The 24,899-nt window shown below is 55.3% G+C and overlaps 1 protein-coding gene across 31 annotated transcripts, besides 5 other annotated features; it reads right to left on the reverse strand.

Annotated features, from left to right (window-relative positions):
- Window positions 5,029-5,530: an enhancer, noted in NCBI's record as "H3K27ac hESC enhancer chr3:49921589-49922090 (GRCh37/hg19 assembly coordinates)". NCBI's record gives its function as "activates a minimal SCP1, AML or CMV promoter by ChIP-STARR-seq in naive H9 embryonic stem cells {active_cell/tissue: H9 hESC(naive)}" and the evidence as "EXISTENCE:reporter gene assay evidence [ECO:0000049][PMID:30033119]".
- Window positions 7,875-24,746, reverse strand: MST1R (macrophage stimulating 1 receptor). Of its 31 annotated transcripts, XR_001740155.2 has the most exons (21): window positions 23,253-24,746; window positions 19,948-20,136; window positions 19,740-19,868; window positions 19,391-19,561; window positions 18,924-19,084; window positions 18,393-18,558; window positions 18,153-18,289; window positions 17,602-17,763; window positions 17,413-17,506; window positions 17,068-17,280; window positions 16,834-16,980; window positions 16,588-16,753; window positions 16,320-16,421; window positions 16,040-16,246; window positions 12,631-12,711; window positions 12,272-12,453; window positions 12,070-12,179; window positions 11,358-11,523; window positions 10,797-10,933; window positions 10,594-10,688; window positions 7,875-8,435 (listed from the first exon to the last, which is right to left on the reverse strand). XR_001740155.2 is itself a non-coding variant. In XM_047448162.1 (20 exons), exons 1-20 carry the CDS (start codon window positions 24,480-24,482, stop codon window positions 8,180-8,182), a joined length of 4,083 nt encoding a protein of 1,360 aa, XP_047304118.1. In that variant the 5' UTR covers window positions 24,483-24,746; the 3' UTR covers window positions 7,875-8,179. The 31 variants fall into 31 exon arrangements, 29 of the variants coding, with proteins under 29 accessions (XP_047304118.1, NP_002438.2, XP_011532041.1 ...); NR_134919.2 differs by lacking the exon at window positions 10,594-10,688 and having other exon boundaries at window positions 16,104-16,246; window positions 17,068-17,277; XM_047448162.1 differs by lacking the exon at window positions 10,594-10,688 and having other exon boundaries at window positions 16,834-16,860; window positions 17,068-17,277.
- Window positions 18,383-18,883: an enhancer, noted in NCBI's record as "H3K4me1 hESC enhancer chr3:49934943-49935443 (GRCh37/hg19 assembly coordinates)". NCBI's record gives its function as "activates a minimal SCP1, AML or CMV promoter by ChIP-STARR-seq in primed H9 embryonic stem cells {active_cell/tissue: H9 hESC(primed)}" and the evidence as "EXISTENCE:reporter gene assay evidence [ECO:0000049][PMID:30033119]".
- Window positions 23,097-23,770: an enhancer, noted in NCBI's record as "H3K4me1 hESC enhancer chr3:49939657-49940330 (GRCh37/hg19 assembly coordinates)". NCBI's record gives its function as "activates a minimal SCP1, AML or CMV promoter by ChIP-STARR-seq in naive H9 embryonic stem cells {active_cell/tissue: H9 hESC(naive)}" and the evidence as "EXISTENCE:reporter gene assay evidence [ECO:0000049][PMID:30033119]".
- Window positions 23,771-24,444: an enhancer, noted in NCBI's record as "H3K27ac-H3K4me1 hESC enhancer chr3:49940331-49941004 (GRCh37/hg19 assembly coordinates)". NCBI's record gives its function as "activates a minimal SCP1, AML or CMV promoter by ChIP-STARR-seq in naive H9 embryonic stem cells {active_cell/tissue: H9 hESC(naive)}" and the evidence as "EXISTENCE:reporter gene assay evidence [ECO:0000049][PMID:30033119]".
- Window positions 24,671-24,890: a silencer, noted in NCBI's record as "silent region_14376". NCBI's record gives its function as "represses an Ori minimal core promoter by ATAC-STARR-seq in GM12878 lymphoblastoid cells {active_cell/tissue: GM12878}" and the evidence as "EXISTENCE:reporter gene assay evidence [ECO:0000049][PMID:35858748]".

The following is a 24,899-nucleotide window of genomic DNA, read 5'->3' on the forward strand; positions in this document are numbered from 1 at the left end:
GGGCTCCCACCCCTCTTCCCTTGATGCTGCCTTTGGTTAAGAATGGGGACAGGGCCAGGTGTGGTGGCTCACGTCTGCAATCCCAATACTTTGGGAGGCCAAGACAGGAGGATTGCTTGAGCTCAGGAGTTTGAGACCAGCCTGGGCAACGAAGCGAGACCCCGTCTCTATAAAAATAATTTTTTTTTTTGAGATGGAGTCTCCCTTTCTTGCCCAGGCTAGAGTGTAATGGCACGATCTTGGCTCACTGCAACCTCTGCCTCCCAGGTTCAAGTGATTCTCCTGTCCCAGCCTCCCAGGTAGCTGGGATTACAGGCACCCGCCACCACGCCAGGCTAATTTTTGTATTTTTAGTAGAGACAGGTTTCACCATGTTGGCCAGGCTGGTCTTGAACTCCTGACCTCAGGTGATCCCTCTGCCTCAGCCTCCCAAAGTGCTAGGATTAAAAATGATTTTTTTTAAAAAGTTAAAAAAGAGTGGAAACCGATAGCTCTGGACACCAAGGGGGAGCTGCTCATCCTCTCATGCGAACGTCCAAAGCCCAAGGGTCTGCCTGTGCATATGTGTGCCTACATTCATGTACACACATACTTGCTGCCCACTATTAATGTCATTAATCTTTGGCTTAAGCAAGCTAGTTTTCTGTTTACAACAGAGATGCTAGTAACAGCCTCTAGTGCCTGTGCAGCATTTGAGCTGGACTGTGCCTTGGAGGGTTGGAGAGGCATGGAGAGAGGTCCTGAGAGCCTCTGGCCTGTCTCACCACTGAGCCATCGTCCACCTCCTGCAGAGGTGGGGCATAACACTCCTTTCCAGAACTGTGGTCCTTTGTAAACAACTGGCCTGAGGTCTCCTGGGGGAAGGGAGCAGAACTGGCTGAAGCGTCTAGCCCATGAAAGAAGGCCCAAAGGAAGCAGCCAGGATAGAGAAGGCCCTTATTTTTATTTTCATTTTTAGAAGCAAGGTCTCACTCTGTTGCCCAGGCTGGAGTGCAGTGGCATTATCATTGCTCACTGCAGCCTTGAACTCCTGGGCTCAAACAATCCTCACCACTCAGCCTTCTGAGTAGCTGGGATAGTGTGAGCCACCACACCTGGCTAATTTTTTTTTTTTTTTTTAATAGAGAAGGGTTCTCACTTTGTTGCCTAGGCTGGTCTCAAACTCCTGGCTTCCTCCCACCTTGGCCTCCCAAAGTGCTGGGATTACAAGCATGGGCCACCATGTCTGGCTGCAAAGGTCCTTATAGCAAACACCCCTTATAGTAATAATAACAATAACTGATATTGATGGGGTCCTTCCTCTGTGCCAGCACAACGTGGAGCACTCACAACCCAGACTCACAGCAATTCAATGAGCTGGGCACTGTCATACCTCATTTTACAAATAAGGAAATCAAGGCAAGGAAAGAAAGGGAGAGAGGTCTGTCTCAGCTAGTGTGTAGTGGAGCCAGAATCTGAAGCCAGGCCACCAGGCTCTGGATTCATACTTCAGGATCCTGTGTTGCCACCACTGGGTGCCATGCTCAGGGCCAGGCAGTCACAGACCCTGCTGGAGGGGAGCTAAAATGACTCCATTGTGGGTTCTGCAGCAGCAAGCCCTACACCCAAGCTGGGTCCTGCATGGACCTGCTCCTCCTCCTGATAGCTTATCAGGTAGCTCAAGCCTGAGAGGAGGCCCTTCCAGGAACCTGGTGGTGCTGAGTATGGGCCAGACTGAATCCTTCGTATTCAGAATTCTTAGCTGGCCAAAGCCTGCTCATCTCATCCAGCTGGGGAGAGGAGCAGCAGGGCAAATAAAGAGGCTTTCAGGCTGGGTCCCTTCTTCCCAGCCCCTAGGGATAGCGCCCCTCGGCCCCTCCCCCAACATGTTTTTAAATAGTGTCTCACCAGGAAGAAGGGCGTCCAATTCTATTTCTGAATCTGGGAAGTGAGGAGGGCCAACGTGTTGCCATGGCAACCTGGAGAGCCCCTCCCCCAGACTGAGCCCATTCCCCAGGCTGAGGGCTGTGGGGTGGGAGGGAGGTGGCAAGGAGGAGCTGGGAGGAGCTTAGTCTGTGGATGAGGCCAGATGGCGTCCCTGTGAGGGCAAGTCCTGCATGACCTTCTCCTCACACTTCACCTCACCCCTCTAGGCAGGCTTGCTAGGAAGGCCCCAACCTCTGCAGAGAGGGTCAAGGGTCAAATCACTGTGAGAAACCCTTCTCCCCTGTGGATCAGGCTGGAACCCTCCCACTTAGGAGGTCTTGAGGATAGTAGAGAGGTGGCAAGAAGGGCGTCAAGGGGAGAGGCACAGCGCCACACCCTATTAGGAGCTCTACAGCTGGCTCCCACACCTGCTTCAATACAGACCTATTTTCGGCTCCCTTGTGTTCTCAGGAGGCAGCTAGCTTTGTCAAGCCCCTGGCCTTGCACCCGTCCGGTCTGCCTGCCTTCTACTGCATTGGGAAGGGTCTGGACATCTCCAAAAGCTAGGATCAGAAAGAGCCTTAAAGGACTCCCAGTGCAGCCCTTCACTTGATAATGGAGCAAAAAGGGAGGCATGTTTCCCCACGGGTTCGCACCCCAGCCACTGTCCAGGGGTTCATACATCAGCCCTTCTACCCCAGAGGTGACAGATGGGTAGCATTTAGATCTGCAGAGGGAGGGCATTCCCCTCCCTCTTGAGCACAGCTCAAGCAAAGGCAGGCTTCTGAACAGACTCAAAGGTATCTTGATTCAACCCTCTCTTGGTGCTGATGGGAAGCTGAGGCCCCCCAAGGAGGAAGGAATGCACTCTTGGTCTCCTAGCTCTATGGCCCACACTCCTTACCTTCCTCTCCTTACCTTCCTCCCTGGAGCTATCCAAGTGACCTGTGAACCCTAGACCTAGACCTCCTGCTTCCCTGACATTTCTCCTGGCCAGGATACACCCATTCCACAGAGGCAGGACTATGATTAAAGGAGCTGGCACCTCCTGCTCCATGGCCCCCCTGTCTGACCCCAGAGGAAGACAGGAAGTATCAGAGAACCCCAGCCTTAGGGGAACCTTAGGCAGGGTTAGGGGAGATAATCCACTCCTATTCTGAAATGTGGAAGGCAGAACCCACTAGTACTAGCAGGATATGGCTTCTGAGCTCTAAGGCACAGGGAAATTTAAATAACAGATGTTTAAACAATCTTCCCTGCAAGCCGGCAGTGCAGTGACCCCTCTGCTGTGATGTGTTGCAGCTTAAAAATAGCCCACAATGAACTGCTCTGAGCCCCAATTGACTCGAGCTTACGTAACTCTGCGTGAAAGGTGGCCAGCCGCATCAGCCCAGAGGGAAGGCAACAGCACAGCCGCCCTGACTGCTGCCCACAGCTGTCTTAGGGGCTGGGAGAGCTCCTCACCCTCCCTGGGAACAGCCCCCACATCCAGAAGCCAGCAAAAGTGGAGGCAAAGGTGGTACTGCCAAAAGCACACATGGCTTCATGACTGCTGAGCAGAGCTGACCTCTAGTCACACCTGCAGAGGGAATGTGAGCAGAGCTGCCCTCCTTCAGGGTTCCTATGGAACCCAGGTCCGGTGGACAGTGGGAGTGACTTTAAATTAAACAGATGACTGGGTCGAAGAGACCAGGGCAGGAGCCCATGTGAACAGGGTGACTGGAGCCACCCAAAAGATTCCTTTCCCTCTTTGAAGAGAAGGCTCCCTGGCTTTGAGGGACATGTCAGCAGGATTAATGCTTGGCTAAAGCTGCCACTGCCATGGAGCCCACGGGTGGAGCTGACTCCTTTGGGGCCTCTGATTCTCCATGGTCCAGGGTGCAGTGTCCCACGAGGGACTTGTGGCATGAGGAAGGGATAATTAGTTTCAAGGGTGATTGAATCCCATGATCTTGACCGCCTGCTGCTTTAAGCTCCCTGCCTTCCCTAATGCATCTCCAGATCCCAAACGCCGAGTGCAAGACTGGCTACAAAAGTATGCAGGTGGTTGGTCAGGTGAGGTGGCTCACGCCTGTAATCCCAGCACTTCGGGAGGCTAAGGTGGGTGGATCACCTGAGGCCAAGTGTTCCAGACCAGCCTGGCCAACATGATGAAAGCCCATCTCTACTAAAAATAAAAAATAATTAGCCAGGGATGGTGGTACACGCCTATAATCCCAGCTACTCAGGAGGCTGAGGCAGAATTGCTTGAACCCAGGAGGCGGAGGTTGCAGTGAGCCAAGTTCATGCCATGGCACTCCAGCCTGGGTGACAGAGTGAGACTCTGTCTAAAAAAAAAAAGAGTATGCAGGTGGTTAAACCAAACTGAAAGAGAGTGGAGAGGTGAGATGGTGAAGATACCTCTGGCATTGGGAGTCTCTGGTACTCACTGGTCCCGCTGCTTTGGCACATGCTGAGCCTTACCAAGGAATAAGCAACTTCCCTCAGCTCCTACCACCTGAGCTGAAAATAGGAACCACCACAGGCCTGGCCCCTGAGCTCCCATAGAGCAACAATGAGACTGGGTTTGGAATGGGGCTATATCTGGAGCCCACAGGTATGACCCTAATATAGTTTGGATATTTGTCCCCACCCCAATCTCATGCTGAATTGCAATCCCCAGTGCTGGTGGTGGGGCCTGATGGGAGGTGTTTGGGTGATGGAGGTGGATGCCTCATCTTGGTGCTATCTTCATAACAGTGAGTTATTTTGAGATCTGGTCATTTAAAAGTATGTGGCACCTTCCTGCTACTCTCTCTCTCTCTTCCTCCAACTTGCACCATGTGAAGTGCCTGCTCCCGCTTTGCCTTCTGCCACGATTGTAAGCTTCCTGAGGCCTCCCCAGAAGCAGATGCTGGCACAATGCTTCCTGTACAGCCTGCAGAACTGTGAGCCAAGTAAACCTCTTACAAATTACCTAGTCTCAGGTATTTCTTTCTAGAGACCTAGCCTGATATAGACCCCCAGAGAGCCTTTGGGTCCCTCAGAATATTCCCTGAAAGGCTGGGGCTGAGGCCGAGACATAAGGGGAATCTTAGGCCAGATTCATGGTACCCCATCAAAGCAGGTCAGTCTGCCCCATGCACGCCCTCCAGGCTCCAGAGAACAGTGACACCAATGGGCAGTCAGGAGGGTGTGAGTCATCTGCTGCCTCCTCAGCGCCAGCTCCCACCCTGGCCTGCTCAGCCTTTATTAGCATCTGCTTGCCCCTAGCCCTACTGGGCTGAGATGGAGGGAGATGGGACAGAGAGGTACCTACTCTTCATAGCTCTTGGTTGGAAGGCTGGTCTCCGAAAGCCCTAGGAGAAACCTCTGTCCACACCATTCCACCCTGGTGGCAGGCCCAGGCCTCCCATGGCCACTAGTAACCCTCCTCTTGCACTGGCCACCCACCATACCTGAGCTACTGCCCAGGCCTCCCCTAGAGGAGAGGCAGCCCAGCCTTCATCAGCCCTGGAAGCCACATGGTCCCCCAGCCCATCCAGGGACCTAGAACTGACCCTCCCTACCCTGTTCTCCCTGGTAGCCCAGTCACTGATTTGAAGCCCTAAAACAGTCCGAGCTCCTGACACCCCAGATGGGGTTGGGACTATCAGATGGCTCTGAGAATGAAGCTCAGAGCTTAGGGGCTGCAGAAATTGAGAGTGGGGGCAGCTGTGTCACAATCCAGGGCCCCAAGTGCCTAACTGGGGCCCCTCCCTGGAGAATTCTGGCCCTGGAGGACCTTGGCCCAGAAGCAGGCCCAAAGCCCTACATTCTGGCTGCACCTGACACCCTCTTTCTCTCCTATCTCTCTTCTCTGGGAGCCTTTCCCATGCTAAGCTCCCTTCTTGTCCAGAGACTCCCTTTCTCTCTGAGCCCCTCATGTGAACAGATAAGCCAGTGGTCCATGAGCTGCAGAAGCTCAATGGGGAAGGAGCTCCTGGGCTTAAGAGATTTGGGTGATCCTTAGAACCCCAGGATGGGGTTAAAGGGGAGAACTACAAGTTGGAGGGATGAAGGCAGTCCTTTCCAACTGAGGTGGGGATGGGCCCCAGGATACTCCACTTACCTCCCTCGCAGCCTCCGGGGTAACACAAGTGTCTCCTGCACACACAGAGACAAAGGGTCAGTGGCCAAGCATGCGGGGCTACAACCTCCTCAGTGCCTGCTGAGGCACTGAGAGTCATCCAAGGTACGGTGGTAAACAGACAGATAGTCCTTCTCTGCCCCTCTTCAGCACACGGGTTCCTGATCTTTGGATCCCTGCACTCAAGCAAGAATCTCCTTTTAAGCCTTACCCACCTGTCCTCAGAGTCCTTAGAGTCCCCAGGACTGGACTTCTCTCTGGCCTGAGGTGGCAGAGCGAGCAGCAGCTGGATGGAGAAAGCTGGGCAGCTCTGGTCCCAAGGAGACTCTCACTCTGATTAGCAGGGAGCTCTTGCTCCAAACCCAGGGTTCCATGTCTGACAGGGCACAGAGCTGTGGGCTCCGAGGGAAGGAAGCCTACCCTCTTAGGGTGAGCTGGGGTCTCCTAACTGAAGGGATGGAGGCTATGGGGGTCCTGAGCAAGGGAGAAGAAACACTGTGATCCAGGTCCTGGGCCAGGCACCCTGGCACCCCAGCTACCCCCTCAGCAGTCAGTGTAGGGAGGAAGAGGAGGAGGGGAAAGTCTCCCTCTCAGAGGAGCACGCCCCTCTAGGGGCTGTTGTGCAGTGGCCTTTACAAGTACAAATAGCTGGGGCAGTTGGCACTTTGAAGTTGGCTCCTTTTTTTTTTTTTTTTTTTTTGAGATGGAGTCTCACTCTGTCGCCCATGCTAGAGTGCAGTAACCCGATCTCGGCTCACTGCAACCTCCGCCTCCCAAGTTCAAGCGAGTCTCCCACCTCAGCCTCCTGAGTACCTGGGATTGCAGGCGTGCACCACCACACACAGCTTAATTTTTGTAATTTTAGTAGAGACAGGGTTTCACCATCTTGGTCAGGCTGGTCTCAAACTGCTGACCTCAAGTGATCCGCCTGCCTCAGCCTCCCAAAGTGCTGGGATTACAGGCATGAGCCACCGCACCTGGCCAGAAGTTGGCTCCTTGAAAGTGTGGAGTTAGGCCGGGTGCGGTGGCTCACGCCTGTAATCCCAGCACTTTGGGAGGCCGAGGCGGGTGGATCATGAGGTCAGGAGATCGAGACCATCCTGGCTAACAAGGTGAAACCCCGTCTCTACTAAAAATACAAAAAATTAGCCGGGCGCGGTGGCGGGCGCCTGTAGTCCCAGCTACTCGGGAGGCTGAGGCAGGAGAATGGCGTGAACCCGGGAAGCGGAGCTTGCAGTGAGCCGAGATTGCGCCACTGCAGTCCGCAGTCCGGCCTGGGCGACAGAGCGAGACTCCGTCTCAAAAAAAAAAAAAGAAAGTGTGGAGTTGAGGCCTTGCTGCTGGCTTATCTCTCTTAAGGCTACAAGCGCAATCAATGCTGGCAGTGTTGCTGGGACCCAAGCCTCTATGCCCCAGATGGCAGGCCCCATTCCATCCTGGATGGTGTGACGGTGGGCACTGCAGATCGAGCAGGGAGCCCTGGAGAAGTGCTAGGGCTGGGGAAAGGGGAGGAGGCAGCCTGAGCCATGGAAGAAACCATCCTGGTCACTGCATGCTTGGGTACTCAGCCTACTTCCTTGGTTCCATCTAACAGTCCCCAGAGCCCTAGGACCTGGATCTGGGCCTTGCTCACCCTCCCTGTTCTCAAAATCCTTCTTGCTGATCCAACTCCTTTCCAGCCTCAGGGTCTTTGCATGTGTGACTCTCTGCCAAAAACCCTCTTTCCTCAACACTGTTTCTGGTGGTTTTTCCCCGGTTGATAAGGCCTCAGCAAAATGTCACCTCCTGGGAGGCTTCCCTTGCCTCTCTATTCAGCTATTTATAGCAGCCTCCTGTCATTCTTTCACACTGTTTGCTACAATTTGTGCTTTAATAGTCATTTGTTCCTTTATTGGTTCAAGGGTCAGTGTTGGTGTGGTCACTGCTGAGTCCACTGTGCCCAGAAGACAGGGTCCACAGCAGGCACTCCATAAATACATGTTGCAGGACTGCCCTCACTGGCTCACTCTGTGGAGTGAGGGACCTAATGGGCCCCATTTACCTATTGCCTCTGAAAGTTAAAGGGCAGGAACAAGGTGGAGGGCCACTGCCCTCTGGCCTGGCATGGCCCAGAGGCAGCTTGGGGTTAGCTCAAGGCAGCTAAGCAGGTCCAGCCCAAGAACTAAGTCAAGTGGGCCGAGGAGGCTCTGAGAGTGGCCGGGGCCGGCGTACATTCCCTGGCATGGGTGAGAACTGCGGCTGTTCTGGACGCACATTCATCTCATGCGAGGTGCTGGGGCCCAAGTTCATGTAGGTTGCTGGCAGCTGCACATAATGGTCCCCAAGCAGTGCAGACACTATCTGCTCCACCTCCCCCACTAGTACTCTGAAGGTGGGTCGCACTGCTGGGTCTGCCTCCCAGCATTGCTGCATCACTTGGTACCTGTTGGGGGAAAGGGATGTCAGGTTAAGGCAATTTCCACCCAAGGATTCTGGGCCACCCACTTGCTGTTAAACCTCTGGCAGGCCACACAGGGATGAGGATAGATGACAGGACCTAGTACCTAGCACTACCCAATCAGGGGCAGCTCTTCTCATCCCTATGATTACTGTTCCAGTCCTGCCTTCCCACCCTGGCAGAGGTCGAACTACCTCAGGTGTTAAGAGCTTGGGCTCCTGTGCCCTGTGGCCTGGGCTATGTGATCTTGGATAAGTTCCTTAACTTCTCTGTGCCTCTGGGTCCTCCTCTGATCACAGAGAAGTAGGCATATAGGCTGATGCCTGTGAAGTGCTAGGCACAAGGCCCAGCTCACGAGGTACAATGGTCATCATCACAGTTCTTCCAGGAAGGAAGCCTGGGTCCAGCAAAGCAGGAATTAAAAATCCTGAAGTGGCCGGGGGCAGTGGCTCATGCCTGTAATCCCAGCACTTTGGGAGGCTGAGGTGGGCAGGTCACGAGGTCAGGAGTTCGAGACCAGCCTGGCCAACATAGTGAAACCCCATCTCTACTAAAAATACAAAAATTAACTGGGCAAAGCTGGGCGTGGTGGCTCACGCCTGTAATCCCAGCACTTTGGGAGGCCAAGGTGGGTGGATCACGAGGTCAGGAGATCGAGACCATCCTGGCTAACACAGTGAAACCCCGTCTCTACTAAAAACACAAAATATTAGCCGGGCGTCGTGGCAGGCGCCTGTAGTCCCAGCTACTCGGGAGGCTGAGGCAGGAGAATGGCGTGAACCCGGGAGGCGGAGCTTGCAGTGAGCCGAGATTGCACCACTGCACTCCAGCCTGGGCAACAGAGCGAGACTCCATCTCAAAAAAAAAAAAAAAAAATTACTGGGCGTGGTGGCACACGCCTGTAGTCCCAGTTACTCAGGAGGCTGAGGTAGGAGAATCACTTGAACCTGGGAGGCAGAGGTTGCAGTGAGCCAACATTGCGCCACCGCACTCCAGCCTGGGCATCAGAGTGAGACTCTGTCTCAAAAAAAAAAAAAAAAATTCTGAAGCAAGAGCATTTGGGGCAGCACCAGTGGCACCCTGGTCCTGAAGCAGAGGTTCCCCAGGTTTACCTGCTGGGTCCTAGTGCCTGCCCCATTATCTTGGGGATGTCATTCCTGCCTGAAATAATACTCTACCCTACACACAATATCTCATATAATTCTCAGACTCTCGGAAGGTGGTACTGTTGTCTCCACTTTACAGATGAGGAAATTGAGGCCCAGAGAGGAGAAGGGCTGGACTGCTGAAGTGGACCCTATGGTGTGCCACCCAGATACCCCTTTACTTTCCCAGTGGCTAGGAGTGTTGCCTGCTGATGGTTCTTGACTGAGGCTCTCTCTAGGAATTGCCCTAGGCAGAAGAGAACTGCCTCTGCCAAGCTCACATCCCCTCACCAGGGACAGCCTGTGACTAGTAACTGATTAATGCCTGGTACAAAGACCTGGCCTGTTGGTCTCAATTTCAGAAAACTGTGGTGGGTCATCCCAGTTCAAGCAGTCCCTGTGGGATGGGCTGCAGTTTCTGTGACATTTCTCCTGCCCAGTCCTTCTTCCCTTGCCCCCAACCTCTCAGTAAATCCCCGTACATAAATCTCCAGCTGAGTCTGTTTCCAGGAGCCCAATCTGGATATGGGTAGGCAGTGAATTAAAGAAGTGAATAGTAAGAGCAAACCCAAGGCAGGTAGGACTGTGAGGAAGGGCTACTCGCATCCTTCTTGGAGCACAGCCTGAGACAGGAGGCGTTAACTACTTTTACCTATGTCCTGGTTCTCTCTGTTCTAACCCAGCAGACCTAGCCACAGCTCAGGCACACCTGCTACGTATGAAGCTGAACCTCAGCACCGAACCCACCCCGTAGGCACTGAGGACAATGCAGCTGCCGCCATCCCTCCAGGAATGGGGAATCTGAAACCACATACAGTGAAAAAACCTGACCTGGAGATCCAGAGGGGGTTGCTGTGGGGGTTATGGAATCTTTCCTCGAGATTAAATGAGAGGAAAAGGTGGAAAGCAGACCCCGTTAGTGGGAGTCGGGTAGGAGGAGCACTGGGAAAATCAAACCACGGGCCTCAACCCCAACTCTGAGCTCAGAATGCTGTTACCATGGCAACTGTGAGGTCCTCCCAGGGTCCTACTCTGCATGAGGGTGGGACCAGTTCACAGATGAGGAAATTGAGGCCCAGCGAGAGTCCCTTTCCTAGTCAACCAGAAGTTCAGTCAGGAAGCCAGGCAGGAGCTCTGTCTCCTGTCTCTTCCATGTCTCTGGGGCCCAGTTCCCTCCCCACTACCACCTCCACATACTCACAGAGAATCAGGGCAATACTCAGGCTGGGGCAGGCGCCGACCCTGGGCCAGGAAGTGGGTAAGGTCAAAAGGGTCAATGTGGCGGTATGGTGGGGCACCCCGTGTCAGCAGTTCCCACAGCAGCACACCAAATGACCACTGTGGAAAGGGGGAGGTGAGGGGACTCAACTCACCCCAAATTTGGGGGCAGGTGGGTCCCCCAGGGCTTCTACCTCCCAGAGTCCTTCAGCTGGAAATGGAAGACCCTACCCTCCACTGAGAGCTCATTCCTCAATACATCACCTGTGTCTTTCCTCTGTCTCCTCCCACTACCTCATCCTACCCAGAGTTGGGGCTGGGCAGGCCCTGGATTATCTGTGAGGAGCCAGTGAGTTCCCAGCCTCCTCTAGCCCTGGCAGGTGTCAGATTCCATCTTACATCTGCCCAAGAGGTGAGCAGATGGGCTGTGGGGGTCATCTACCCTGGGGACTCCCTGGGCTCAGATCATTCAGAGCTGAATGGGTGAGGCCCAGTGTTCTTGGGTGCCAAAGCCATGTGGACTGTAGGGCAGGTGGGGCCTCACCACATCAGACTTGGTGGTAAATCTATAGGTCTGCAGGCTCTCCAGCGCCATCCACTTCACAGGTAGGCGAGCGTGGCGATGCTGTTGAACACTATAGTACTCCCTGTCCAGGATGTCGCGGGCCAAACCAAAGTCAGCCACCTTGACTGTGAATGACTCGTCCAGCCTTAGGGGTAGGGAGAGGATCACACTTAGGACTGGCCCTTACCAGGCCCTGAACCCACCTGTTCTAGGCCCTTACAGAATTTTTTTTTTTTTTGAGACGGAGTCTCGCTCTGTCACCCAGGCTGGAGTGCAGTGGCGCGATCTCCGCTCACTGCAAGCTCTGCCTCCTGGGGTCACGCCATTCTCCCGCCTCAGCCTCCTGAGTAGCTGGGACTACAGGGGCCCGCCACCACGCCTGGCTAATCTTTTTGTATTTTTAGTAGAGACGGGGTTTCACCGTGTTAGCCAGGATGGTCTCGATCTCCTGACCTCATGATCCGCCTTCCTCAGCCTCCCAAAGTGCTGGGATTACAGACGTGAGCCACCGCGCCTGGCCAAATTTCAAAGCCACAGTGTCCAGTCCAAGTCTGCACTGGGCAGACAAAAAAAGTAAGGTGCAGAGAGGGGAGGACAAGGCTGGAGTGGGCCCTTCCCTGAGGCGGCCTTGAGCACCGCACACCCTCATGCCCTGTCCTTTTGCTTCACCCCAGCTACTCTGGACTCTCACATGCAGTTCCGCGCAGCCAGGTCCCTGTGCACAAACTTCTGCTCTGCCAGGTACTCCATGCCGCGGGCTACCTGCAGGCCAAAGCTGATGAGGTCCTTCACGGTGGGGTTCTGGGGGCACAGGTGGGTTGGTGGGCAAGGGCACAGCAGCTCCTTCTCCAGCTGCTGCCCAGCCCCCAACCCAGAGCCAGATGAACACTGACCCGCTGAGGTGAGCGGATGAACTGGAGCAGGTCACCGTGGCACATATAGGGCAGCAGCACATGGGGCAGGCCCTCAGGTGGCAACATGATACCAATGAGAGCCAGCACATTCGGGTGGTTCAGGCCACGCATGAGCAGCCCCTCTCGCAGGAAGGCCTCCACCTGCTGCATCTCTGTGATGCCTGCAGAGCAGCGCAAGTCAGGCACAGGGCAGGGCGTCCCTTTATAAGGCTCAGATGGGGAAATGGGAAATGAAGGTCTCCTGCTCAGGGTCACTCAGTAAGGTGGGAACACAGAGAAAAAGAATCCTCCCAGCCTGAGGCCCCTCCCTCTGCCTTCCCATCTTCTGCCCCACTTACGACTTAGTGACTTGATGGCACATTGGATTCGATTCTGGGCCTGGTCTATGTATTCTCCGTGGTAGACAACTCCAAAGTGGCCTGGTGTGAGGTGCATAATGAGTCGATGAGAGGGGATCCAGGGCCCAAGGCTCACACCACACATTCTCATTGGCAACCAGACCTCAGAGCACTAAACTGGCCAATCTGACATTTTATTTATTTTTAATTTTTATTTATTTTTTTTGAGACCGAGTCTCACTCTTGCCCAGGCTGAAGTGCAGTGGTGCAATCTCAACTCATTGCAACCTCTGCCTCCCAGGTTCAAGTGATTCTCCTGCCTCAGCCTCCTGAGTAGCTGGGATTACAGGCAACTGCCACTACACACAGCTAATTTTTTTGTATTTTTAGTAGAGACTGGGTTTCACCATGTTGGCCAGGCTGGTCTCAAACTCCTGATCTTGTGATTCACCCACCTAGGCCTCCCAAAGTGCTGGGATTACAGGTGTGAGCCACCACACCCGGCCCAATCTGACATTTTAAAAAAGCAGCAGGGCTGCGTGCAGTGGCTCACACCTGTAATGCCAGCACTTTGAGAGGCCAAGGCGGGTGGATCACGAGGTCAGGAGTTTGAGACCAGCCTGGCTAATATGGTGAAACCCCATCTCTAGTCCCAGCTGCTTGGGAGCCTGAGGCAGGAGGATAGCTTGAACCCGGGAGGCAGAGGTTGCAGTGAGCCAAGATCGTGTCACTGCACTCCAGCCTGAGAGACAGGGCGAGACTCCATCCCCCTCAAAGAAAAGCAGCAGAAGCCAAGCGCAGTGCGCCTGTAATCCCAGTTACTCAGGAGGCTGAGGCAAGAGAATCGCATAAGCCCAGGAGTTCAAGGCCAGCCTGGGTAACATAGTGAGATGCTGTCTTTTTTTTAAATTAAAAAAAAAAAAAAAAGGCTCATGCCTTTAATCCTAATACTTTGGGATGCTGGGGCGGGAGGATCAGCTGAGGTCAGGGGTTCAAGACCAGTCTGGCCAACATGATGAAACCCCGTCTCTACTAAAACTACAAAAATTAGACAGGTGTGGTGGCAGTGGCAGGCCCCTGTAATCCCAGCTACTCAGGAGGCTGAGGCAGGAGAAATGCTTGAATCCAGGAGGCAGAGGTTGCAGTGAGCCGAGATTGCACTACTGCACTCCAGCCTGGGCAATAGAGTGAGACTCTGTCTCAAAAAAATAAAAATAAATAAATAAGTAAATAAAGCAGGGTCGGGTGCGATGGCTCACGCCTGTAATCCCAGCACTTCGGGAGGCCGAGGCGGGCGGATCACCTGAGGTCGGGAGTTTGAGACCAGCCTGGCCAACATGATGAAACTCCATTTCTACTAAAAATACAAAAATTAGACGGGCTTGGTGGTGCACGTCTGTAATCCCAGCTACTTAGGAGGCTGAGGCAGGAGAATCACTTGAATCCGGGAGGCAGAGGTTGCAGTGAGCTGAGATCATGCCACTGCACTCCAGCCTGGGTGACAGAGTGAGGTTCTGTCTCAAAAATAAATAAATAAATAAATAAATAAATAAATAAATAAATAGGCTGGATACAGTGGCTCACGCCTGTAATCCCAGCACTTTGGGAGATCAAGGCAGGCAGATCACCTGAGGTTAGGAGTTTGAGACCAGCCTGGCCAACATGGTGAAACCCCATCTCTACTAAAAATACAAAAATTAGCCAGGTGTGGTGGCGGGCGCCTGTAATCCCAGCTACTAGGGAGGGTGAGGCAGGAGAATTGCTTGAACCTGGGAGGGGGAGGTTGCAGTGAGCCAAGATTGCACCACTGCACTCCAGCCTGGGTGATAGAGCAAGACTCCATCTTGAAAAAATAAAATAGGCCGGGCGCGGTGGCTCACACCTGTAATCCCAGCACTTTGGGAGGCTGAGGCGGGTGGATCATGAGGTCAGGAGATCGAGACCATCCTGGCTAACACGGTGAAACCCCATCTCTACTAAAAATACAAAAAATTAGCCGGGCACGGTGGCAGGCGCCTGTAGTCCCAGCTACTTGGGAGGCTGAGGCAGGAGAATGGCATGAACCTGGGAGGCGGAGCTTGCAGTGAGTCGAGATCGCGCCACTGCACTCCAGCCTGGGTGAAAGAGTGAGACTCCCTCTCAAAAAAAAAAAAAAAATAAAATAAAATAAAATAGGCTGGGGGCAGTGGCTCATGCCTGTAATCCTAGCACTTTGGGAGGCTGAGGCGGGCGGATCACCTGAGGTCAGGAGTTCGAGACCGGCCTGGCCAACATGGTGAAATCCTATCTCTACCAAAAATACTAAAAATTAGCCGGGTGTTGTGGCAGGCGCCTGTAATCCTAGCTACTCAGGAAGCTGAGACAGGAGAATCACTTGAACCCGGGAGGAGGAGGTTGCAATGAGCCGAGATCGCGCCATTGCACTCCAGCCTGGGCAACAAGAGTGAAATTCTGTCTCAAAAAAAATAATAATAATAAAATAGAATAAAAATAAAAATAAAATAAAATAAATATAATAAAACAGGCTGGGTTCGGTGGCTCATGCCTGTAATCCCAGCACTTTGGGAAGGTTAGGCAGGCAGATTGCTTGAGTCCAGGAGTTCGAGGCCAGCCTGGACAACATGATTCGAGGCCCATCTCTACAAAAAATAAACAAAAAATTAGCCAGGCATGGTGGTGCATGATTGTAATCCCAGCTACTCAGGAGGCTGAGGCAGGAGGATCACCTGAGGCTGGGGAGGTCGAGGCTGCAGTGAGCCATGATTGTGCCATTGCACTCCAGCCTGGGTAACAGAGTGAGACCCTGTCACAAAAACAAAAACAAAACCATAAATAAAACCAAAAACAAACAGCAGCCACTTGATGGCAGAGGCTACAATCTTCCTATGCCTGATTGATCCACACCAGAACCCACTGAAGACAGAACTTTTCTCATCCCCATTTTACAGATGAGCAAATGGAGGCTCAGAGAGGTTAAGTGGTATACCCAAGGTCACACAGGTTGGTGAGAAGGTTAGAGCAGTATCTGTTCCAACTGTCCCTTTAGCCCATGTCATTTTTTTTTTTTTTGAGAAGGAGTCTCGCTCTGTCGCCCAGGCTGGAGTGCAGTGGTGCAATCTTGGCTCACTGCAAGCTCCGCCTCCCGAGTTCATGCCATTCTCCTGCCTCAGCCTCCCAAGTAGCTGGGACTACAGGCGCCTGCCACCATGGCTGGCTAATATTTTTTTGTATTTTTAGTAGAGACGGGGTTTCACTGTGTTAGCCAGGACGGTCTCGATCTCCTGACCTCATGATCTGCCCGCCTCGGCCTCCCAAAGTGCTGGGATTACAGGAGTGAGCCACCACGCCTGGCCTAGCCTATGTCATCTTGAGACTCCATCTCTGCCCCAGCCCCACCTGGCCCCCACACCTTTGCCAATGACTCGGTCACTGTGGGTGACCACCCGCTCATGGGGAATCAGCACATCCTTGACCTCAGCCAAGAGCGCAGAGTCCAGGTCCCTTAGCTGGATGGACTCTTTCCGCAGCAGTGGCACACAGGATTCATCTTCACTATCGGAGAAGGATGCTCCATGGACACAAGTGGTGGAATCCAGACCATCAATGGCAGGGAGTGCTGTGGGGAGAGGGAATGAGGAGCTTGTAGGGACAGGGGGTGGCTTTAGCTTCTCATGCCTCCACTATCTCACCAAGGCCACTTCTGTAGTCAGAGCCCGAGTACAGAATAGGCAGGGGTGTGGCTCCAGCAGTCTGGTCCAGGGATGCCAGGTCATTCAGGTTGGGAGGAAGAACTGTGGAAAGAGAATCCTTGGTGGCTTGGCTTTCCAAGCTCCTAGGGGCCGACCCCTCTGGGGAGGACTTAGATCCCTAAGTCCTGGGCAGAGAGAGGATGTAGGGACTTGAAGATGCCATTGGTTGGGGGTAGGGGCTGATTAAAGGTAGGAGCAGAGAACTCACCTAGCTGCTTCCTCCGCCACCAGTAGCTGAAGACCAGTGCAGTCGCCAGTGCAGCCACAAGCAGCAGCAAAGGCAGCAGGATACCAAGGAGCGTGCTCTGTGGGACCCCATCTGGCCCTGGCCGCACCACTCTACCCAGGATATGACATTCACCATCTACGCAGACCTGGGGGCAGGTGGCAACTCAGGCCCAGCCTGTAGGCCCTCTGCCCGTGTTTCCCAGGGAGGTCCAGCTGGGCTGCCTACCTGCAATGGGGCACCATCCTGGCCAAGCTGCAGGGATGGGGGCAGGGGGCAGACAACCATGTCCCCCCGGAACTCGTGCTGGCAGCTCTCACCACCCACGGTCACGTTGATACCCACACAGTCAGCCACAGCGCCCAGCCCAATATACTGCAGAGAGGGTCATGAGGACCAGCCAGTAGGCTGGCCCCTACTTTCAGATCCCCAACTGTCCCTGCCCCTATCCCTTACACTTACCTCAAACTTAATGGCATGCTCCTCAGGCTTCAGTGGAACTAGGTTGGCACTGGGTGGATGGGGTGGGGGTAGGAAGCGAAAGCCAGGCAGTGTAAAGCCAGCAGCTCCATCCCCTCGGGCACTCAGATTCCCTGCCACCCATCCCTGGGGGTCTCGGACCACATATTCAGGAAGGCGGCACAGCTGCTGCTCTGGAAGCTGCCTCTCACACTGCTGGGACCAATATGAGAGTGATTAGCCAGGAACCCCACCTGTGATTGCTCCTCGCCTCAGCCCAGCACGAGGTTGGGCTGCAGCTCAGGGAACTCATCCAGCCTTCCTCCCTCCTGGCCAGCACTCACTCACCCTGCTTTCCACTGCCCTAAGCCCGTCATGGAATGACAGCACTAAGTGCCATGCTGAAGTTAGATGCTGGCCACAGATGGTGATGTGGGAGTTGCTGTGGAAGAGGGTAGGGTGGTAGGCTTTGGGTGTTCTCCAAAGCTGGCTCTCTCATTCCCCAGAGGCCAGAGTGGGCAAAGAGGCAGTGCTTACATGTAGCCACAGTTGGGGCTGATGCTTAGCACGACAGGGTCTTCTCTGTACTGGAAGGTCCAGGAACCAGGTACCTGGGCACCCCCCACCTGCAGGCTAAGGGGGACACTGGCCACCGTGGCCCCAGGGGGTGTGGCACATAAAAGCTGCCCCTCACTGACCCTACAGGAACAAGAGATTGGGCTCAAGGTTACCCTCTTTGTGATGGCCAGGCCCACTTCTTCCAGGGGCCTGTTGACCTCTCCCAGTTCGTCTGTTATCTCTCCCACCTGCCCCACTCCATGGTCTGTCTGAAAATAAGGTGGTCCCAGGAAGACATCCCAAGAGGGTAAGGAGGGAACAGGTTCCCCACAGCCTTGGCTGGAGCCATTGGACTCTGTGATGGGCTCTCTTGCCTCTGGGCTGAAGAGGGCAGTAGTCTTTTCTTCCTGGACCTGCTCTCCACACCACACTGACCATGTAACAAGCACTCTTCCCTCCATCCTGACAGAATCCGGGTCCCCACCTGGATAGAACCCTGCGGCCTCCCATGCCTGCCTGGTGGTACTTACCGTGCTAGCAGACACTCAGTCCCATTGACCAGCACAGCCCGGCTGGTGCCTACAGACAGACTCTGGCCTTCAAGAGTGAGACAGGTGCCTCCTGCCCGTGGGCCAAAGAGGGGTTGCACTGCTATCAGCACTGGCTCCTAAGAGGACATAGAGGTGGCTTAGGCAGGTCCTCCACTCCAAGCCCCTCCCTTCCCGTACCATGCACTGGCCAAGGGCACAGACAGGGCAAGGTAGCCTCACCATGAAAGAGAAGCCTCTCAGCACGGAGGTGCCGTCTACCCGGAAGTGCTTGCCCGGTGGCATGTTAGTCACGGTGAGGCTGACGTTGGTAGGCCCCACTGCCTGGGTGCCCAAGGGCTCCAGTTCACACTCAAACTCCTCTACAAAGTCTTTCCGGGGCACTGGTCTGGGGCACCAGGGGAACCCCTGAGGTCAGCCAGGAATTACACAGGCCTAGATGCATGCCTGCCACAAGCCACAGGGCTCCTCTGAGCCAGAGAATGGCATTTCTCCACCCATGCCTCCCTCCATGGAAGGAAGGTTCTGGTGGGGCAGAGATTAACCTTGGCTGGTCCATGAGTGAACAGACAGGAAGGGCACATGAAAGCTCAAAAAGGGACAGAGACCTTTTTGACTCTCAAAAAGCAGTCAGAACCACTGCAGCTTCCCCCATCCCCCCTTGCCTCTGATAAGCAGAGAACAGGGTCTCATGGGGAAGGGGCTGCTTGGTTTCCCCCTTCAGGGAAAGGGAGGGGAGGGACCAGATTGTACCTGAGTTTTGAGCTGTCCTTGGGCAGTGGCCGGCAGGGACTTTGGCCCACAGTGACCTGATGGGTTCCCTCAGGCACCAGACCAGAAGGGTGAAGGTAGAAGTTGGAGCCACACAGGGTCAGCCTTGTACTGCCCCTTAGAGGTCCACTGTGGGGGTGGAACTGAAATGGGGGAAACAGCCTGAGTCCTCATGTGGGGTTGGGCTCTCTCAGCCCCACCTGCTTCCCCAAAGTCTCCTGCCATACCCCTTGCCTTCCCCACGCTCCAGCCATTTGGAGTCACTTGCATTCAAGCACTTTCCTGCCTCCAAGTCTTTGCATGTGGCATCCCCTCTGACAAGAATGCCCTCCTTGTAGATATGAAGGACACCCCCCAGACCTGAGAAAAATTGTGATCAAGACTTGCTGACCACCACCCCAGGCCCAGCCTGTCCCACTCTTACCTGTGCCCTGCCAGGGAAGCCATACCTCAGTAAGCTTAGGTGGGCAGTGGTCCTGTTGCCAGGAGCCAGGACACTCCTTCTGCTGGCCGCACATGTTCCCACACCAGCCACAGCCCATGAAATGCCATGCCCTTAGGCAACGCCCACAGGTCAGGAAGTGGCGGCAGCCAGGGCCTTGGATAGGTACCTGGAAAACCTGTGGGTGAAAGACAGGTGACTCAGGGGTGCCTGGAGGGAGAGATTGGGCCCTATAGACCCTCCCGGTACACAGTAGGCTAGGGTGGTAGGGCCTGTATGTCAATGCCTCCCTGGATTGGATGGAGAGTCTGTGATCCCACAACCCTGGCCCCAGGCCCTGCCCCTGCCCACCTCACCTGGTCCCCAGAGGCAAAGAGTAGGTGGTCCCCAAGACGACTGACATCCCGCTGCACGGGCTGCCCACTGTCACCCAGTGAGAAGTTGGACACATACAGCAAGTAGTTTAGTGACCTGACCAGCTCCACCTAGGACAGGTCAGATGTGAGCAAAATGGGGATGGAGACAAGGACCCAGGGCTAGGGGACTGTGGGGATGAGGACCCACCTGCAGGATACGCCCATCCATTGTGCCCATGTGTGCCACTGTGACGTTGTCAAGGCGTGTCACATACAATGCAGTGACCTGTACTGGTCCCAACAGCCCATTGAATAGGTCCACACGTGAGAAGCTGCTACTGACCAGCAGAGGGAAGTGGCGGCAGCTGGTGTTGGGGCTGAGGGCTTCCAGGCCAGGCTGGGAAAGGTCAGGGAAGGGAAGGAGTCAGGGTTCAGCCTTGTGCCCCGACCCTCTGGGGCCTTTGTCAGTGGCCACAGCAGCCCAACACTCTCACCCCTCACCTGGCCTGACTGGAGAAGGCCCTGGGCCTGCCGGTTACCATCCCACATTGCCCCCACAGGGCTCTCAGTGTAGCAAGGGCAGGGAGAAGGCCCAGGCTGGAAGGTCCACTCCTCATTCTCCCTGCCCCACCCTGCCATGCCCATCCTGATGGTGAGTTACCCCCATTCCATCCTCACAACCACCCCGTACATCTTTTTTTTTTTTTTTTTTTTTTTTTTTTTTTTTGAGACGGAGTCTCACACTGTTGCTGGGGCTGGAGGGCAATGGTGTGATCTCAGCTCACTGCAACACCTCCCGGGTTCAAGAGATTCTCCTGCCTCAGCCTCCCGAGTAGCTGGGATTACAGGTGCTCGCCACCACCCCTGGCTAATTTTTTGTATTTTTAGTAGAGATGGGGGTTTCACGATGTTGGCCAGGCTGGTCTCGAACTCCTGACCTTGTGATTAGTCCGCCTTGGTCTCCCAGAGTGCTGGGATTACAGGCATGAGCCACGGTGCCTGGCCCACCCCGTACATCTCACAGATGAGGAAACAGGCTCAAGAGGTTTGGTCTCTGGTCCAAGGCATCATAGACCCTCAAGAGGAGAGCCCAGTTGGAAGTCTCAGCTCCGCAAGAGTCTTCTCCTGCCCCCTGCTGGCTCTTCTCTGACTCTCTGTGTGCACTTCAGCAAACCCTGTCTCCTCTGGGCTTCGGTTTCCCCACTTGCATAAGGGGCTGAATGCTGGAGTTAATTGGCCAGCACAAGGTTGGGGACATGGTCCTTCTCCCTAGACTCCAAAGGTCTGCCTGTACTCCTGGCTGCTTCCTATACCCCCCTTCAGGGTACAAAAGGGATAAACCAAACCCCTACAGCCTGGGTGCCAGAACTAAGTTCTGGAAGCTAGGGGGTACTAACCTCTCCCCTGCTTTTAGCAAGGGGGTGTTTTTGGGGGCTGCAATCACGCTCCAGGGGAGGACTGTGGAAGCTCTGGGAAACCAGTACACCAGGGTATGAACTCGCGGTGTTGGAGCTGAGTGCGAGGTGCAGACGGGGCTCAGTAGCCAGCCCTAGGTGCTTAGGACTCTCTCTCACCAGCCCGGAGGGCACTCCTCGAAGCAGGAGCCTCTGAAGGCTCCATCAGACCACAGAGGCTTAACCCAGTCCTGAGACCTCAGCACTGATTAGTAGCCCTGGAGGCAAAAGTAGATGTGGAGCTGAGCCTCGAAACCCCATACACCTTGTGCCTACAGCTTGGGGTGGGTGGGGACTGGGATTTTGTCCTCACTTGAGGCAGGAAATCGGCTTGGCTTGGCCCGAGCCGGAAGGCTGCCAGGTGTTTCTAGCATGACTCAGGGACAGGTGGGGCTCTGAAGGGGAATAGAGCCCTACCTTAGTCAGGCCCACACCCTAGCCTGCTTGTCCCTAGCCCCAGGACCTTAGCTCTACGTTCCCAGGCTTAGGTAGGGGCCCCCAGCTCCTGAAAACACGTAAGTGTCCAATGTCCCATGGAGGACAGGCACCAGCTCTGAGTCCCTCAGGCCTCCTGAGGCCAACCACTATGTGGGTGCTGCCCTAGTGGCTGCATGCCCAGAGTTGCTGGGCAAACACTGCACGGGGTGATTCACACACCTCCTGGGGGCCTGGCCAGCCTGTGAGCAGGGACCAAGATTAGTCTTCCTGGAGCCTGGCACTGCCCAGCCGTGCTGGGTGTCTTCTGACCCACTGACCACTAGGCAAGCTGGGGAGAGGTTCTGACTCCCCATTGGGAAGGAGAAGGGGCCAGGCAGGCCTGCCCAGGCCCAGACAAGGAGTCCCCAACCCTAGGGCCTCTCAACCCAGATGTACTCAGCAGAGGGAGGGAGGCTAAAGACCCCCAACCTCACATTGGGTGTAAGTTCTCCCATCTCCGAGGCATCAATAGGAGCGGAAAGGAGTCTTTCGAGAATGTCACAGCAGGCCCAGGGCCACAGGATGATAGCTAGAGAATCTAAGAACAGTAGCTGTGGGTCCCATTCCTTGGTCCAATCTTACTGCTGTTGCCTACACGATGGCTGGAGAGAACCTAGATAGAGTCTGTGGAAGGAGCCCCCAGTTCAGCACAGGCTTTGAGACTTCCTGCCTGGGGTAGGGCTCCAAATACAGTTAAAAAAAAAAGTCTGGGATGGACCAATTCCAACCAGCCCTTCCTAGGCCTTTACTTATCCCCAGATGTTTATAGTTGCTTGCACAAGACTAGAGTGAGGCTCCCAGAACCTTCTAGAACCAAGCTGCCATTCCATGAGTTCTGGGTACTCCCCCAATCACCCCCAATCATGGCAAAAACGTTAGTGAAGCCCAGGACATGCAGGCTCCCTAACAAGCTCCCAACTTCCAAGGCCCAGGAGGCTCCCTGGAACGTGGTGGCTGGCAGAAGGATGGGGGTGGGTGGGGGGAGGGGGTGTGGAGGAAGGGGAGATTCTCTGACAACTCCCGTCCCACCCCCTTTGGAAAGCAGAGCAAAACAAGGGAAAGTGAAACTGTTGGCAAGCAGCTGTGAGTCTGTGAATCTGTGAGCATCTCCCTGTGTATTTGTGCGTGGTGGTGGTGGTGGTGGCGGGGGTGGGGGAGGGGAGGGGGGAGTGCTATTTTTCTGCGTGTGTCCCTGAGGATATGGGTGGTGGACAAGTAGGAGGGAATGCCCATCATTCTACCCAGCATTCAGGAGCTATGCTAACAGAGACACGGTTATGTAACCCTATCCTCACATAGCCAGGGAAACTACCTAAAAAACCAGAGGCCATGATGGGCAGGTAGGGGAAAGAGCAAGATGAGGCAGCCACAAGGGCCAGCCTGGGAGCTAAGCCTCCAGTGTAGCCTTTGTCTGGCTGGTTTCTCACACCACCCCAGCACTTAGGAACTGGGTGAGAGAGAATGCTTCTTTCCGCCTGCCCCCCCACCGCGCCCCCAGATCCCCTCAGTGATGGAAGGGAAGCAGCCTGTGTTCAGCCATGTGCATGCAGCTCACAAGTAAGGGCCCCTTCTTTCAGCTTACCGGGTTGGGGCAAAAACTGGGCGACTGGAAGAAGTCGAGGCCTCGCCGGAGGCCTGGATGGACTGGGGATTCACAACAGCGCTCCACACCCTCATCAATTAGTGTGTCCAGCAGGTCAATGGGGAAGGCACAGACGACAGAGTTGGGGCCCACGCCAGGACCACCATCCTTGCCAGTCACAAAGACCCCAAATAGTACTTCCTGGCCCTCGGCGATGCTCAGCTCAGTGGCAAGTTGGGCACCCACTGGAGCGGAGTGGGCCACCCGCAGCACAGGGTAGGGCTGTCCGCCTTCTGGGGCCCCCCGGCGCCTGCGTTTTGGAGCAAATCTGCAGTCGAGGACCAGCTCCCGATAGTCACCCAACTCTGGCTCAGTGGCGCTAAGCCGTGCCAGGCGTGTGTGCAGGGCACTAGGATCATCTGTCACGCTGGCCGGCTGTACAGTCAGGAAGTATACGAAGGCTCCCGTGTGGAAGCTGTGCACGTATTCAATACTGTAGGAGACAAGATGCTTGGGCAGCACTGACAACGCCACAAAGCCCGGTGCGAATCCCGAGGCGTCAGCCTTGAGACGCCTGATAGACACTGAGCGTGGGCTGAAGCTGGCAGCCACGGCTGCGTCCAGTGAGGATGCCACGTAGAAATAGGAGGCCTGGCCTTGCTCAACCACAGTTACACGGGTGCCCAATGGGCTGGCCACACAGTCGGGGCAGTCATCGGGCCGGTTATGGTGGGCTGAGAAGAGGCAGGCTGGCGCTGCCAGATGCACGGCTGTCCCTTGGGGCTCTAGGTCATGCAGGAAGCAGCGGCCCTGCAGGCTGGAGCCACAACTGACCAGCGCAGGCAGCGCGGGATCCAGCACCAGCACCTTTGTGTCTGTGTCACCGGGAGGGCCGTGGGGTCCTGGGCCACAGGCTGCACACGTCTGGCAGCCAGGGTCTCCAGCAGGGCCCGTGGCCAGGCTCTGGACAGACTTCAGGTCAGGCCCAAGCACATGCAGGCGATTGCGTATGGCTACAAACACAGCACTCTCATTTCTGTCGCCCTCGTAGGTCACCATGGCCTGTACCAGGCCTCCGGCGGAGAAGCTGGGCACCACGTACTTCACGTCAAAGTCGCGAGAGGCCGCGTAGGGGGTGCGCGGGCACTGCCAGTCCTCGCCCGCCGCGGGCTTGGCAGGCAACAGCAGCAGCAACAGGAAGGACTGAGGCAGCGGCGGGAGGAGCTCCATCGAGGCGAGCTGGGACCCTAGAGGATCCCTACCGGCCTGGGCCTGGACCTGGGCGTGGGCCTGGCTGGGGGCCCGACTCGAGGTCTGGACTGGGCCAAATTTAAGCAGCGGTCCCGACAGCCCCAAGATAGCGGACCCCCGCCCCAGGTTCCTGTGAAACCCAAATCCCTTCCCGGCCCTCGGGTCTGAGCACCTGACGCCTGCGGACGCACGACAGCAACGCCCCAGCCGCCTCACCTGCCGCCCCAGCCGCCGCTGTACACTGGCGCTTAGCGCTCAGCCGACCCGAGGGCGCCGGGCTGGGCGGGCGGAGTCGGGCCGTGGGGGCGGGGCCGCGAGGAAGGCTTGGCCTAGCCCAGGCCCTCCGCCCATCCGACTCTTCCGGCCCTTGGAGGCCTGGCTCCTGTACCTTCACCT

Source organism: Homo sapiens, chromosome 3, assembly GCF_000001405.40.
Source record: "Homo sapiens chromosome 3, GRCh38.p14 Primary Assembly".
Lineage (NCBI taxonomy): Eukaryota > Metazoa > Chordata > Mammalia > Primates > Hominidae > Homo > Homo sapiens.